The sequence below is a fragment of the Homo sapiens genome, chromosome 1 (genome assembly GCF_000001405.40).
Source record: "Homo sapiens chromosome 1, GRCh38.p14 Primary Assembly".
NCBI lineage: Eukaryota > Metazoa > Chordata > Mammalia > Primates > Hominidae > Homo > Homo sapiens.
Genome location: NC_000001.11, coordinates 149,946,712 through 149,964,189, shown reverse-complemented (window position 1 = coordinate 149,964,189; position 17,478 = coordinate 149,946,712). Strand labels below are relative to the sequence as shown.

Sequence of the window (17,478 nt, the reverse complement as noted above, 5' to 3'; positions counted from 1 at the left end):
CTAAAGTTACCAAGCTGCCAAAGTCACTGGGTGCCTGCCAGTAGAAAATATTTCCAAGTGTTTAGGTCAGTGTGACTCCCCTTATGATCCTGAAAATTGGAGAAAATGCAGTTAACACCAATGGGGTAAATGCCTTCTGATGTGGTCATGAGAACTGGTGGTGGGCATGAGACCTACAGAGAGGTTATCTAACATTGTGCTTTTCCCCCAGTAGGTGCTTTATAGCTTTTAGTGGCAGTGTTTTGCAAAATGAGTTATGACAATTCCATAGGATTTTTGTATTGTTTTGTTTTTTTGCTTGTAATAAGGCTAGATCAATTTTTAAAGACTTATGTTTTCAGCCCCTATAGAAATGTGAATGGTTAAAATCTTTTAGGACATATATACCATTTGTTTTTCATATACTCAGTTTTAGTTTATTTTAAATTTTAAAAAGCATAAGGAACCAGCATTCTAATCACACACACACACAAAAAGCATACCTATTTAATTGAGTCTGAACAGTACTTCTCAGGAGTTTGTCAAATGTTGAGGCTGCTGTTATATAAGGCAGTAACAACAGATTGTTTGTACTTGCCCTCTCCAAAACGGGTTGCGCAAACTATGGCTATTTTGTAAGAAAAAAAAAAACAAAAAAAAACAAAAACAAAAAAACCTTTTATCAGAATACAGCCCTGGGCATTTCTTGGATGTTTACACGTGTAACTGCTTTCTTCCTCCAGCAGCACAGTAGTAACATGTGGCCTGCACAGCCCATACTTACTGACTACCTGGCCCTTTACAGAAAAAGTTTGCTGATTACTTCCCTTCAATAATGACATTATGCCTTTACATAAAAATAATGAGGCTCCCTATTTCCTTTTCCTGTGATTCTGTGCTATGTTTATATCTCCTGCTCTTTATGTATATCTATTTTTTTTTTGCCATGTTATGGCTGGATCTTTCTGGCATTTAGTATGGCAATATCTCTTCAGAAACTTTCCTTTTTCATCCACCTTTCTTTTTTTCTCATTTTATTGCTGTCATAACTTGACAATATAGAAGAGTTTTTTTGTTTTAGTTATTTAGAATTTTATATCCTGAAGATTTAATATGTAAGTAGAACATGCTATGTTTCTTCCTCAAAAACAAATAATCCAGTTGTTAAAAGTAGATGATATTAAGATCAGAATCCTCTCCTTGAGCAGCCAGTCTTCCCCAGAAGATTCCTGAGGGAAATAAACCCACAGGGGCAAGGCCACATAAGTACTTGACATTCTTTTTTAGCACCAAAAGCTTGGCTGGATCTCGTGGAAAGCTTTTGCCTGAGCTAGAGCTAGCCTAGAATTTAGAATCCAGAGCAAATCAGTAGTCAGTTTTGTGGTAGTCAGCTTTGTCCTCTTCACTGTTGAGTTCAGATAATACCGGAACCTTAACCACTGCAGAGGCAAGAAAAGGCCAAACCAGAACATGCCAACTATTAAGTAGAAATGACAGCAACACCCAGAAAATTAAGTGTGCCCAATTCCAGTTATTAAAGCAATTAGTTATTATTCTAAAGATGGGGTTAGATTATAATGGTATTTAGCCAGGAAACCCAGAAATACCCACGTTCTATCCTTGGCCAGCCAGCCTTTCCCTCTCAAAGTCAGCCTTTCCATCTGAAAGTCCCCAACATGCATAGAGAATAGTGGCTAGTAATGGAGCAATAGTTTTAGTCCTTTTGCTCAGCACAGTGAAAGTTCATACTGAAAATGTGGCTTTCATAATTGTCTTAGCTTAGACCATTCATAGCATTATTACCCACCTTGGGAGTGGGAATGGTAGGAGGAGGATAATGAACTGGGGAAGCTTCCTTTAGCTCCCCAGTACCAAAACCACACTAAATAAGTTTTGATTTCCTGGGCTTCCTTGTTTTATGTTGAAATTGGTGGTGAGGCTCAGTAATAGTTTCTTAAATGTTAAGGCTAGAAGTTGTACACCACCTAGTGGCTGTGTACATTAAAACAGGAAGCAGAAACCGGCCAGGAAGAGGGAGCCGGATCTGGATGTGTCTATTGGAGTGACTGCAGCACTCCATATAGAACCTGGGCATTGCTCTCTTTATTTTTAATTGAAGTAAAATTTGTGATAGCATTTTACAAATTGAAAATAGCTGTGTCATTTAAAAAATTCCCATTAAATTTGTTCCCAGTACCCCTCATGTTTCCAGTGATTTCCTTCTACTCTGTCAGTGTGCGGTTAAGCCGTATAGACTCATTTTAATACTAATGTCAGCCAAATAAAATTAATAAGTTAAACTTATTTCCCTTATCATTATATACATCCTAAAGCCAATGTATTTTAAAATTGCTTGTACCATTGCCTGCTCTCCTTTGATAAAAATTGTAGTTTCACTTAGCATATGTTTATTGATTATAGTCACAAAATAGACCTTGGGTGTATTGCATAAAACATGATCCTAGCATAGAGGAGGAGATGGACATGTAAATACATAATTGCAACAGGTTATAACATGTATGACTCTTACAATAGACGTCTCTATAGCAGTTAATGCTGGCCGGATGCGGTGGCTCATGCCTGTAATCCCAGCACTTTGGAAGGCCAAGGCAGGCGGATCACCTGTTGGTAGTTCGAGACCAGCCTGGCCAACATGGTGAAACCCCGTCTTTACTAAAAATACAAAACTAGCCAGGCATGGTGGTGTGCACGTGTAGTCCCAGCTACTCCGGAGGCTGAGGCAGGAGAATTGCTTGAACCTGGGAGGTGGAGGTTGCAGTGAGCCAAGATCATGCCACCACACTCCATCCTGGGTGACAGAGCAAGACTTTGTCTCAAACAAACAAACAAAAAAACAACAACAACTCTATAGCAGTTAGGGAGAGAGGATACAAAGGAAGGAGTGGTTGATCTGCCAAGGGAGATTTAGAAGACTATTTGGAGGAATGATACCTGAGTTCTGTCCTAAAAGTTGAGAAATTGTTCACAAGGTTGACAGAAAGTGAGCTACTCCAGGCAGAAGGAACAGCTTAGACAAAAGCTCAGTGGTATAAAACAACATGGTATATTTCAGGAACTACAGCTGATTCAGTGAGATATATCTGACTAGAGAAGTGGGTAGGGGCCAGAAAGTAGGCTTTGTATGCAGCACTTCTACTTGGGAGGCTGAGGCAGGAGAATTGCTTGAACCCGGGAGGTGGAGGTTGCAGTGAGCTGAGATCGTTCCACTGTACTCCAGCCTGGGCGACAGAGTGAGACTCTGTCTCAAAAAAAAAAAAAAAAAAAAAGAAGGTATCCAGGTGTGGGGTGGGTGAAAGAAAGAAAGGAATATTAGATAATTCCTTGGTTTTGAGCTTGGATGTTTGGGTGATAGTTGGTGCTATTCACTAAGGTAGGAAAATAGGAAGAAGAGTGGGTTTGGGAAAAAACAGGAGTTCTATTTTGACTTTACAGAGTTTGAGGTAGCCATGGGCAGGTGGCAGTCTCCAGTAGGTAGCTGGATATATGAATATAGAAATTAAGAAGTCTAGGCTGAGTGCAGTGCCTCATGCCTGTAATCCCAGCATTTTGGGTGGCTGAGACAGGCAGATCACCAGGTCAGGAGTTCGAGACCAGCCTGGCCAACATGGGGAAAGCCCGTCTCTACTAAAAATACAAAAATTAGCTGGGCCTGGTGGTGGGTGCTGTAATCCCAGCTACTCGAGAGGCTGAGGCAGGAGAAGCATTTGAACCCGGGAGGTGAAGTTTGCAGTGAGCCGAGATTGTGCCATTGCACTCCAGCCTGGGTGACTCTGTCTACAAAAAAAAAAAAAAGAAAAAAAGGAAAGAAAAGAAAAAGAAAAGAAATTAAGAAATCTGGGCTGGAGATAGATGGTATATACCATACAGATGGTAGTGGATGAGATTATGGCAGTAGAAGAGATCACCCAGAGGGAACCAAGGTGAAAATCATTGACACACCACTAGTATTTTGGGGGCAGACAGAATTTAGAGGAATAGAAAGTAATTTTATGGACGCTAATGGCAAAGAAAATTTAAAGAGGAAAATAACCCATGTGAAGGCTAAGATGGGAACCAGGGTCCACTGAATGTGGCAATTAGAAGGTCATTGTTCTTTGCCAAAATCAGGTAGGTGAAATGTTATGTGGCAGGTGGGTGAGCAGGATGGAGGGCAGAAATGGGACAGATTGCAGTAGGTCAAAAAGAATGGATGATAAAGAAGTTTAATAGTCATAGACTATTAGTTCATGGATCTTGACTGTAAAAGAGATAAGAGATTTGACTTTGTAGTACAATTTGTAAACCAAGTGCTAAGGGATTAGGGAGTAAGTAACAGTGAATAAGGTGGAATAGGTATTGCCTCTTAGAACCCAGCCTCTAATTGCCCAATGTCCCCTGCCTGTCCTTCACACAGTCAGGGCTGGTATACACAGAAGATGAATGGCAGAAGGAGTGGAATGAACTGATCAAGCTTGCCTCAAGTGAACCCCGAATGCATCTAGGTACCAATGGAGCCAACTGTGGTGGGTAAGTATGGCTAAGTAGGGGAGGAGGAAACCTGCATAGAGTCCTCACTGGGCTTCCACAGCCCAGTGTCTAGAGAGCTCTGTGCTAAGAGGATATTAGAAGGAAAGAGGGGAACTATGCTAAGGGCACAAAAGTGTGTAACAACATGATATGTTTAGGAACTACAGGTAGTTCGGTATTGAACTGGAATATAAAGTAGCCCATCTAGACTTTGGAAACTTCAGGACAAATGACCCAGTATCTTCAGTAAGTAAACTGCAAGGAAAATAAAAAGGGACCAGGAACTTGTAGGTTTAAATGGACTAAAAAGACATATCAGGCCGGGTGTGGTGTCTCACACCTGTAATCTCAGCACTTTGAAAGGCTGAGGCAGGAGGATCGTGTGAGCCCAGGAGTTCGAAACCAGCCTGGGTAACATAGTGAGACCCCCTTTCTTTTTCTTTCTTTTTTTTCTTTTTTTTTTGAGACAGAGTCTTACTTTGTTGCCCAGGCTGGAGTGCAGTGGTGTGATCTCTGCTCACTGCAACCTCTGCCTTCAGGGTTCAAGTGATTCTCTGTTTCAGCCTCCCAAGTAGCTGGGACTACAGATGCATGCCACCACGCCCAGCTAATTTTTGTATTTTTATTAGAGACGGGGTTTCACCATTTTGGCCAGGGTGATCTCAAACTCCTGGCCTCAAGTGATCCACCCACCTTGGCCTCCCAAAGTGCTGGGATTACAAGCATGAGCCACCATGCCTGGCCAGTGAGACCACATCTTAAAAAAAAAAAATTAGCCAGGCATGGTGGTGCATGCCTATAGTCCCAGCTACTTGGGAGGCTGAGGTGGGAGGATTGCCTGAGCTGGGGAGGTCGAGGCTGCAGTGAGTTGTGACAGCACCCCTGCACTCCAGCCTGGGTGACAAAGAGAGACCTCTGTCTCTAAAAGAAAAAAAAGACATCAACCAGTTGGGATGTGTGGACATCATAAGACAATTAAGGAAATGTGAACAATGTCTCTGTGTTTGATTATTGTTAAAATTATAAAATGTGATATTAATGGTATAGTGGTTGTTTAAAAAGGTAGTCCTGGCCAGGCGCAGTGGCTCACGCCTGTAATCCCAGAACTTTGGGAGGCCGAGGTGGGCGGGAATTCGAGACCAGCCTGGCCAATGTGGTGAAACCCTGTCTCTACTGAAAATACAAAAAATTAGCTGGGCGTGGTGCTAGGCGGCTGTAATCCCAGCTACTCGAGAGGCTGAGGCAGGAGAATTGCTTGAACCCAGGAAGCAGAGGTTGTAGTCAGCCGAGTTCGTGCCACTGCACTCCAGCCCTGGCGACAGAGTGAGACTCCATTTCAAAAAAAAAAAAAAAAAAAAAAAGGTAGTCCTTTATGTTTTTAGAGATAGAAACTGAAATAAAATAAAAATGGATGAAATTATATAATGTCCAGGATTTGCTTCAAAATTCTCTGGTGGTAGCCCCGTGATGGGGGAGGTAGGTAAATAGATCTGAGGTGTAGTAAAACAAGATTGACCAAGTGTTGAAGATGGCCAAATAGGAACAGCTCCAGTCTACAGCTCCCAGCATGAGTGACGCAGAAGAGGGATGATTTCTGCATTTCCAACTGAGGTACCGGGTTCATCTCAGTAGGGCTTGTTGGACAGTGGGTATAGCCCACGGAGCGTGAGCCGAAGCAGGGCGGGGCATTGCCTCACCTGGGAAGCACAAGGAGTTGGAGAATTCCCTTTCCTAGCCAAGGGAAGCCGTGACAGACGGTACCTGGAAAATCGGGACATTCCCACCCTAATACTGCCCTTTTCCAACGGTCTTAGCAAATGGCACACCAGGAGATTATATCCCGTGCCTGGCTCGGAGGGTCCCATGCCTGCGGAGGCTTGCTCACTGCTAGCACAGCAGTCTGAGATAGAACTGCAAGGAGGCAGTGAGGCTGGGAGAGGGGCGTCCGCCATTGCTGAGGCTTGAGTAGGTAAACAAAGCGGCCGGGAAGCTCGAACTGGGTGGAGCCCACTGCAGCTCAAGGAGGCCTGCCTGCCTCTGTAGACTCCACCTCTGGCGGCAGGGCATAGCTGAACAAAAGGTAGCAGGAACTTCTGCAGACTTAAACGTCCCTGTCTGACAGCTTTGAAGAGAGTAGTGGTTCTCCCAGCACGCGGTTTGAGATCTGAGAACGGACAGACTGCCTCCTCAAGTGGGTCCCTGACCCCCGAGTAGCCTAATTGGGAGACACCTCCCAGTAGGGGCTGACTGACATCTTATACAGCCGGGTGCCCCTCTGAGATGAAGCTTCCAGAGAAAGGATCAGGCAGCAACATTTGCCGTTCTGCAATATTTGCTGTTCTGCAGCCTCCACTGGTGATACCCAGGCAAACAGGGTCTGGAGTGGACCTCCAGCAAACTCCAACAGACCTGCAGCTGAGGGTCCTGACTGTTAGAAGGAAAACTAACAGAAAGGACATCCACACCAATACCCCATCTGTATGTCACCATCATCAAAGACCAAAGGTAGATAAAACCACAAAGATGGGGAGAAACCAGAGCAGAAAAGCTGAAAATTCTAAAAATCAGAGTGCCTCTTCTCCTCCAAAGGAACGCAGCTCCTCACCAGCAACAGAACAAAGCTGGACGGAGAATGACTTTGACGAGTTGAGAGAAGAAGGCTTCAGACGATCGGTAATAACAAACTCTGAGCTAAAGGAGGATGTTCGAACCCATCGCAAAGAAGCTAAAAACCTTGAAAAAAGATTAGACGAATGGCTAACTAGAATAAACAGCATAGAGAAGACCTTAAACGACCTGATGGAGCTGAAAACCATGGCATAAGAACTATGTGACGCGTGCACAAGCTTCAGTAGCTGATTCAATCAAGTGGAAGAAAGGGTATCAGTGATTGAAGATCAAATGAATGAAATGAAGTGAGAAGAGAAGTTCAGAGAAAAAAGAGTAAAAAGAAACAAACAAATCCTCAAAGAAATATGGGACTATGTGAAAAGACCAAATCTATGTCTGATTGGTGTACCTGAAAGTGACGGGGAGAATGGAACCAAGTTGGAAAACACTCTTCGGGATATTATACAGGAGAACTTCCCCAACCTAGCAAGGCAGGCCGACATTCAAATTCAGGGAATACAGAGAACGCCACAAAGATACTCCTTGAGAAGAGCAACTCTGAAATACATAATTGTCAGATTCCCAAAGTTGAAATGAAGGAAAAAATGCTAAGGGCAGCCAGAGAGAAAGGTCGGGTTACCCACAAAGGGAAGCCCATCAGACTAACAGCAGATCTCTCGGCAGAAACTCTGCAAGCCAGAAGAGCGTGGGGGCCAATATTCAACAGTCTTAAAGAAAAGAATTTTCAACCCAGAATTTCGTATCCAGCCAAACTAAGCTTCATAAGTGAAGGAGAAATAAAATCCTTTACAGACACGCAAATGCTGAGAGATTTTGTCACCACCAGGCCTGCCTTACAAGAGCTCCTGAAAGAAGCACTAAACATGGAAAGGAACAACCGATACCAGCCACTGCAAAAACATGCCAAATTTAAAGACCATCGATGCTAGGAAGAAACTGCATCAACTAACGAGCAAAATAACCAGCTAACATCATAATGACAGGATCAAATTCACACATAACAGTATTAACCTTAAATGTAAATGGGCTAAATGCTCCAATTAAAAAGACACAGACTGGCAAATTGGATAAAGAGTCAAGACCCATCAGTGTGCGATATTCAGGAGACCCATCTCAGGTGCAGAGACACACATAGGCTCAAAATAAAGGGATGGAGGAAGATCTACCAAGCAAATGGAAAACAAAAAAAAGCAGGGGTTGCAATCCTAGTCTCTGATAAAACAGACTTTAAACCAACAAAGATCAAAAGAGACAAGGCCATTACATAATGGTAAAGGGATCAATTCAACAGGAAGAGCTATCTTAAATATATATGCACCCAATACAGGAGCACCGAGATTCATAAAGCAAGTCCTTAGAGACCTACAGAGAGACTTAGACTCCCACACAATAATAATGGGAGACTTTAACACCCCACTGTCAACATTAGAGAGATCAACGAGACAGAAAGTTAAAAAGGATATCCAGGACTTGAACTCAGCTCTGCACCAAGCAGACCTAATAGACATCTACAGAACTCTTCACCCCAAATCAACAGAATATACATTCTTCTTAGCACCACATCACACTTATTCCAAAATTGACCACATAGTTGGAAGTAAAGCACTCCTCAGCAAATGTAAAAGAACAGAAATTATAACAAACTGTCTGTCAGACCACAGTGCAATCAAATTAGAACTCAGGATTAAGAAACTCACTCAGAACTGCTCAACTACATGGAAACTGAACAACCTGCTGCTGAATGACTACTGGGTACATAATGAAATGAAGGCAGAAATAAAGATGTTCTTTGAAACCAATGAGAACAAAGACACAACATACCAGAATCTCTGGGACACATTCAAAGCAGTGTGGAGAGGGAAATTTATAGCACTAAATGCCCACAAGAGAAAGCAGGAAAGATCCAAAATTGACACCCTAACATCACAATTAAAAGAACTAGAGAAGCAAGAGCAAACATTCAAAAGCTAGCAGAAGGCAAGAAATAACTAAGATCAGAGCAGAACTGAAGGAGATAGAGACACAAAAAACCCTTCAAAAAATCAATGAATCCAGGAGCTGGTTTTTTGAAAAGATCAACAAAATTTGATAGACCGCTGGCAAGACTAATAAAGAAGAAAAGAGAGAAGAATCAAATAGACACAATAAAAAATGATAAAGGGCATATCACCACCGATCCCACAGAAATACAAACTTCCATCAGAGACTACTGTAAACACCTCAATACAATTAAACTAGAAAATGTAGAAGAAATGGATAAATTCCTGGACACATACACCCTCCCAAGACCAAACCAGGAAGAATTTGAACCCCTGAATAGACCAATAGCACCTCTGAAATTGAGGCAATAATAGCATACCAACCATAAAAAGTCCAAGACCAGATGGATTCACAGCCGAATTCTACCAGAGGTACAAAGAGGAGCTGGTACCATTCCTTCTGAAACTATTCCAATCAATAGAAAAAGAGGGAATCCTCCCTAACTCATTTTATGAGGCCAGCATCATCCTGATACCAAAGCCTGGCAGAGACACAACAAAAAAAGAGAATTTTAGACCACTATCCCTGATGAACATCGATGCAAGAATCCTCAATAAAATACTGGCAAACCGAATCCAGCAGCACATCAAAAAGCTTATCCCCCAAGATCAAGTTGGCTTCATCCCTGGGAGGCAAGGCTGGTTCAACATACGTAAATCAATAAACATAATCCATCATATAAACAGAACCAAAGATAAAAACCACATGATTACCTCAACAGATGCAGAAAAGGCCTTTGACAAAATTCAACAGCCCTTCATGCTAAAAACTCTCAATAAACTAGATATTGATGGGACGTATCTCAAAATAATAAGAGCTATTTATGACAAACCCACAGCCAATATCATACTGAATGGGCAGAAACTGGAAGCATTCCTTTCGAAAACTGGTGCAAGACAGGGATGCCCTTTCTCACCACTCCTATTCAACATAGTGTTAGAAGTTCTGGCCAGGGCAATCAGGCAGGAGAAAGAAATAAAGGGTATTCAATTAGGAAACGAGAAAGTCAAATTGTCCCTGTTTGCAGGTGACATGATTGTATATTTAGAAAACCCCACTGTCTTAGCCCAAAATCTCCTTAAGCTGATAAGCAACTTCAGCAGTCTCAGGATACAAAATCAATGTGCAAAAATCACAAGCATTCCTATACACCAATAATAGACAATCAGAGAGCCAAATCATGAGTGAACTCCCATTCACAATTGCTTCAAAGAGAATAAAATACCTAGAAATCCAACTTACAAGGGATGTGAAGGACCTCTTCAAGGAGAACTACAAACCACTGCTCAATGAAATAAAAGAGGACACAAACAAATGGAAGAACATTTCATGCTCTTGGATAGGAAGACTCAGTATCGTGAAAATGGCCATACTGCCCAAGGTAATTTATAGACTCAGTGCCATCCCCATCAAACCACCAATGACTTTCTTCACAGAATTGGAAAAAACTACTTTAAAGTCCATATGGAACCAAAAAAGAGCCTGCATTGCCAAGACAATCCTAAGCCAAAAGAACAAAGCTGGAGGCATCACGCTACCTGACTTCAAACTATACTACAAGGCTGCAGTAACCAAAACAGCATGGTATTGGTACCAAAACAGAGATATAGACCAATGGAACAGAACAGAGCCTTCAGAAATAATACCACACATCTACAACAATCTGATCTTTGACAAACCTGACAAAAACAAGAAATGGGGAAAGGATTCCCTATTTTATAAATGGTGCTGGGAAAACTGGCTAGCCATAGGTAGAAAGCTGAAACTGGATCCCTTCCTTACACCTTATAAAAAAGTTAACTCAAGATGGATTAAAGACTTAAATGTTAGACCTAAAACCATAAAAACCCTAGAAGAAAACCTAGGCAATACCCTTCAGGACATAGGCATGGGCAAGGACTTCATGACTAAAACACCAAAAGCAATGGCAACAAAAGCCAAAATAGACAAATGGGATCTAATTAAACTAAAGAGCTTCTGCACAGCAAAAGAAACCACCATCAGAGTGAACAGGCAACCTACAGAATGGGAGAAAATTTTTGCAATCTACCCATCTGACAAAGGGCTAATATCCAGAATCTACAAAGAACTTAAACAAAGTTATAAGAAAAAATCAACCCCATCAAAAAGTGGGCGAAGCATATAAACAGACACTTCTCAAAAGAAGACATTTATGCAGCCAACAGACACATGAAAAAATGCTCATCATCACTGGCCATCAGAGAAATGCAAATCAAAATCACAATGAGATACCATCTCACACCAGTTAGAATGGTGATCATTAAAAAAGTCAGGAAACAACAGGTACTGGAGAAGATGTGGAGAAATAGGAACACTTTTACACTGTTGGTGGGACTGTAAACTAGTTCAACCATTGTGGAAGACAGTGTGGCGATTCCTCAAGGTTCTAGAACTAGAAATCCCATTTGACGTAGCCATCCCATTACTGGGTATATACCCAAAGGATTATAAATCATGCTGCTATAAAGACATATGCACATGTATGTGTATTGTGGCACTATTCACAATAGCAAAGACCTGGAACCAACCCAAATGTCCAACAATGATAGACTGGATTAAGAAAATGTGGCACATATACACCATGGAATACTATGCAGCCATAAAGAAGCATGAGTTCATGTCCTTTATAGGGACATGGATGAAGCTGGAAACCATCATTCTGAGCAAACTATCGCAAGGACAAAAAACCAAACACCACATGTTCTCCCTCATAGGTGGGAATTGAACAATAAGAACACTTGGACACAGGGTGGGGAACATCACACACCAAGGCCTGTTGTGGAGTTGGGGGAGGGGGGAGGGATAGCATTAGGAGATATATCTAATGTAAATGACGAGTTAATGGGTGCAGCACACCAACGTGGCATATGTATACTTATGTAACAAACCTGCACATTGTGCACATGTACCCTAGAACTTAAAGTATAATAAAAAAAAATTAGTGCAGGAGCAGCAAGCAGTTCCCATGCTACTCTAGATCTGAGGAGTAGCTTTGGGTGCATTCCTGAAAGTGCAGGCTAGAATCTGTTTATTGATCAATTTAGTACTGACACAAGCCTGTAATATGCTGTAATAAACTTTCTGTTTAAAAAAAAAAAGGTTGACCATGTGTTTATAATTGTTAAAGCTGGGTGATGGATACATGAGTGTTTAGTATATTATCATTTCTAGTATTGAATATGTTTAAAATTTTGAAATTTTCCATAATGGTTAAAAATTATAACCTATGCAGATTTTATTGTACATAAGAATAATCTGGGAGAGTTATTTAAAAAGCTGATTTCTGGACCTCCACCCCAGAAAAGTCCAGTTGAGTTGGACAGAGGTAAGGCCCAGAAATCCTTGTTTGTAATCAGCATCCAATATTGAATAAAATTGCTTTAGGGGGTGGAAGCCATTGAATATTGAGTATGTGAATGACAGGAGCAAATTTGTCCCTCCGTATTTGAACACGCTGACTCCAGTGGATAATGAAGTGGAAAGGAGTGGGATAAGATGCAGTTGTAGTAATCCAGGAAAGGGCCATGGATGAACAGTGTGGTAGACTAAAGATAAGCCCGGGAGACAGATAAAAGAAACACACAGGAAGGCCAGGCGTAGTGGCTCACACCTGTAATCCCAGCACTTTGGGAGGCTGAGACGGGCGGATCACGAGGTCAGGAGATCAAGACCATCCTGGCCAACACGGTGAAACCCCGTCTCTACTAAAAATTTAAAAAATTGCCAGGCACAGTGGCTCACGCCTGTAATCCCAGCACTTTGGGAGGCCGAGGCGGGCGGATCACGAAGTCAGGAGATCGAGACCACGGTGAAACCCCATCTCTACTAAATATACAAAAAAATTAGCCAGGCATGGTGGTGGGCACCTGTAGTCCCAGCTACTCGGGAGGCTGAGGCAGGAGAATTGCCTGAACTCAGGAGGTGGAGCTTGCAGTGAGCCCAAATCGCACCACTGCACTCCAGTCTGGGCGAAAGAGTGAGACTCCATCTACAAAAAAAAAAAAAAAAAAAAAATACAAAAAGTACAAAAAATTAGACCGGGCGAGGTGGCGGGTGCCTGTAGTCCCGGCTACTCGGGAGGCTGAGGCAGGAGAATGGCGTGAACTTGGGAGGCAGAGCTTGCAGTGAGCCGAGATCGCGCCACTGCTCCAGCCTGGGGGACAGAACGAGACTCTATCTCAAAAAAAAAAAAGAAAAAAAAACAAAAAACACACGGGAGATGGAATTGGTTAAATCACGTGACTACTGGAAGGTGAGAGATAAAAGCACAATAAATATTTCCAAATTTCTGATTATGCTACTGGATAGATGGTGAAGCTGTTCTTTCAGTGAGGAAAGGAACATAGGAAAGGAATTGTGTTTGGCTGTTTTTGTAAGACATGAGTGTGATGTGTGGGTGGCTGTAGTATATAAAATAAGTAGGATGAAGCTATGCAGTTGTGTATTGAGCTACTGGATGAAGAGAATGGAGAGAGGCTATTGAACAGGAAGAATATTAAGAGATAGGGATTACCTCCAAATTCCTAACACTGCTTTAACCCTAGAGCCTTCAAATCTCTTTTCTTGGATTTCCCCATCTGTGAAAACGGAGGTAGAAACAGCCATGGTAGCATAAAATAATCAGCTATATCAGTGGCAGCCTTAAGATTGGAAAACCAGGAAAGGACATTCTTCTTTTCCCTTTCTGCAGAACTGGTCTTCAGGGTCTCCTGTTTCTACTCTCTCATTTTTACTGCACCCTTTTCACTCTCTCCCTTCCCGTCGTTCCAGGGTGGAGAGTTCTGAGGAGCCTGTATATGAGAGCCTTGAAGAGTTTCACGTCTTTGTCCTTGCTCATGTGCTTAGGAGGCCCATAGTCGTCGTGGCAGACACCATGCTGAGGGACTCCGGAGGGGAAGGTGAGTCAGCCAGTCAGTCCTCACTCCATGCTGAGCACCCCCTTTTGCAAAGCCTTAGGCTAAGCATTGGAAGGAAGGCAGGAAAGGGGATATATAGACCCTTGGGGAAAAAGCAAGTTATCAATTAGAATAGTGCAAAATTCTCAAGAGATTCTGAGTAAAGCAGTTGGGATTAGTTGACAGGGCTTCTTAGGAAAGAATTATTAAACATGTTGGAATGAAAGCAGGGAGGGACTCAGTTGGCAGAGTGGGATGTAGGGATTGTCCACTAGGCAGAAACACAGCCTTCATAATAATCTTCATGGCTTCCTGCAGCATTTGCCCCTATTCCCTTTGGAGGAATCTATCTGCCTTTGGAGGTCCCAGCCAGCCAGTGTCACCGCTCCCCTCTGGTGCTCGCCTATGATCAGGCCCACTTTTCTGCACTCGTGTCCATGGAGCAGAAGGAGAATACCAAGGAACAAGGTGCTGAATGACATGTCTTTTGGTCTGCATTATTTTCACTTGAAAAAATTGAATGAGATCTAATGTAGGAGGAAAGAATTAAGTGACATGCAAGCCCAGACAGCACATGTTGATACTGTTTTATTAAGCCAGAAGTTACGCCAGAGTTTTCAAATTAAAAAAAAAAGGGTTGGGAGAAAAGCAAGACCTATATACCCTCTTCTGGAGTAAAGGCTTATGATTAAGGTGTAAGAGCTTCTAAATGATGCTTTTCTAATTTGTCTTAAATTATGACTGAATTCTCTGAATATACATTAACTGGAAAGAACATCATGAGAGTTAGTTGACTGACTGGTGGGGACTCAGGGAGATTTGTGGCCTAAAACATATGCTGCGTGGTAGCGGGAAAACTAGCCAATTAGTTTTAATACCGGGGTAATTCACGTGTAAGAATTGAGAAGTGACTACAATTAAAGACCTTAGTATGATTTTAGTGAAATAAGTCTGTGTTCAGTTACCTTTCTCTCTTAAGGAGATTCCTTGATGATATGTTTCTTCCTCTCCAGCTGTGATCCCACTTACAGATTCAGAGTATAAGCTGCTGCCCTTGCACTTTGCTGTGGACCCTGGAAAGGGCTGGGAGTGGGGCAAAGATGATAGTGACAATGTCCGATTGGCCAGGTAAGCCAGGCCTAGTCTTTTCATCTATTTTGTGCTGGGATTTCTTCCACATGTGGCATCCATCTCCCAGGGATTTTTCCTCAGCTCAGGCAAGACAGTCACAAGCTAAGATGAGTTTTGGGAAGATGGGGAGGTAGAGGAGAGGTTGGGCACCAGGACTCTTTCATGGTGCAGCTGCTTTTTCTCCCTGTGAAAGAGATGGGAATCCTAGCATCTCAACTTGTTCTTTTCTTACAATAGGAAAAGTGTTCATACACTGATTCATCTCTAAAACATTGATCAGAAAATCAGGATAATCAGGCCGGGCATGGTGGCTTATGCCTGTAATTCCAGCACTTTGGGAGGCTGAGGTGGGTGGATCACGAGGTCAGGAGTTCGAGACAAGCCTGGCCAATATGGTGAAACCTCGTCTCTACTAAAAATACAAAAATTAGCCAGGCGTGGTGGTGCGTGCCTGTAATCCCAACTACTAGGGAGGCTGAGGCAGGAGAATCGCTTGAACCCAGGAGGCAGGGGTTGCAGTGAGCCGACATCGTGCCACTGCACTACAGCCTAGGCAACAGAGTGAGAGTCTGTCTCAAAAAAAAAAAAAGAAAGAAAGAAAATCAGGATAATCAAATCACATGTCTTAGCCCAAGTGAGAGGAGTTTTAAAGAGTTGATCAAGGCTGGGTGCGGTGGCTTATGCCTGTAATCCCAGCATGTTGGGAGAAACCACCATCAGAGTGAACAGGCAACCGAGGCAGGCAGATCACCTGAGGTCGGGAGTTTGAGACCAGCCTGGCCAACATGGAGAAACCACATCTCTACTAAAAATACAAAATTAGCCAGGCGTGGTGGTGCATGTCTATAATCCCATCTACTCGGGAGGCTGAGGCAGGAGAATAACTTGAATCCAGGAGGCGGAGGTTGCAGTGAGCTGAGATGGTACCATTACACTCCAGTATGGGCAACAAGAGTGAAACTCCATCCAAAAAATAAATAAATAAATACGTGATAAAAATAGTTTGCTCTGAGTTTTTGCCTTTCTGGAATTTAATAGCAAGAAAAATATGTTCCCTACCCTCTCAGCCCCCACTCTACCTCCCTGTGGCTTGTTAAGCCTTCCTTCTGCCTCCTGCATCAACTTCCTGATGGAGAGTGTATGAATGCAAAAGCTCCTCCCTTAGCACTTACCTAGTGCTTCACTCTCTGGGCTCCTGCCACTGGGTCCCAGCTAAGAGAGTTTGATTTTAAAATCCAGAGTTTATGGCTTTTTAAAAATAACCTCTCACCTATTTATCAAAAGCTCCTTCTAAATAATATTTACAACAACAACAATGATAATGGCTACTATCTAGTATTTCCCATTTTCCAGACACTGTGCTGGGCTCTTTCCAAACACTGTTTTAATCTTTACAACAACCCTACAGGATAGATATTATCTATACCCATTCTCAGCTGCAGCTGAGTTTCAGGGAGGTTGAAGTGACTTGCTCAAGGTCATAAAGCTTATTAATTGGTGGAGAAATAGTTCAAACCCAACCCTATTTGAGTCCTAAGCCATGTAGCCCTCTCCCACCCTTTCTCCCAACTATATCAAATTGCTTTGCTTTTAAAAGGTGACAGTAATTTGTTTTTTCTCTTTTTCATAGTGTAATTCTGTCCCTAGAGGTCAAATTGCATCTGCTGCATAGCTACATGAATGTGAAGTGGATCCCACTGTCCTCTGATGCACAGGTGAAGACTTCTCCCACATCTACCCTGGTGTGTCTTCATTTCATTTTCAGTGACAGAACAAGGAGATCTGGGATGGTTTCCTTCTGAATCTATTCTGAGTGGTGGCTTACAATTCAAGGTTAGAAGTAACTAGAAGATGTCAGATAAGTTCCAAAGACAATTTTTCCTGTTTTTATTGTATTTTTTATTTTTATTTTTGAGATGGAGTCTTGTTCTGTCACCCAGGCTGGAGTGCAATGGCACAATCTTGGCTCATTGCAACCTCCGCCTCCTGGGTTCAAGCGATTCTCCTGCCTCAGCCTCCTGAGTAGCTGGTATTACAGGCATGCGCCACCACGCCCAGCTAATTTTTGTATTTTTAGTAGAGGACAGGTTTCACCATGTTGGCCAGGCTGGTCTCGAATGCCTGACCTCAGATGATCTGCCCGCCTCAGCCTCCCACAGTGCTGGGATTACAAGTGTGAGCCACCGCGCCTGGCCTTTCCTGTCCTTTTTTTTTTTTTTTTTTTCAGAGGAAGTCTTGCTCTGTCAGCCAGGCT

The 17,478-nt window shown here is 42.6% G+C and overlaps 1 protein-coding gene across 12 annotated transcripts in view; it reads left to right on the top strand.

Annotated features, from left to right (window-relative positions):
* Positions 1 to 17,478, top strand: part of OTUD7B (OTU deubiquitinase 7B) — a 129,842-nt gene that overhangs the window by 103,464 nt on the left and 8,900 nt on the right. For 7 of the 12 annotated variants that reach the window (XM_047425716.1, XM_047425712.1, XM_011509784.4 and 4 more), the window contains 5 exons: positions 4,394 to 4,506; positions 13,969 to 14,096; positions 14,412 to 14,561; positions 15,107 to 15,221; positions 16,855 to 16,966. In XM_047425716.1, coding sequence (XP_047281672.1) covers positions 4,394 to 4,506; positions 13,969 to 14,096; positions 14,412 to 14,561; positions 15,107 to 15,221; positions 16,855 to 16,966 — 618 coding nt within the window. The remainder of the gene's footprint in view (positions 1 to 4,393; positions 4,507 to 13,968; positions 14,097 to 14,411; positions 14,562 to 15,106; positions 15,222 to 16,854; positions 16,967 to 17,478) is intronic. The other 5 variants (XM_047425721.1, XM_047425720.1, NM_020205.4 and 2 more) reach the window with 1 other exon arrangement.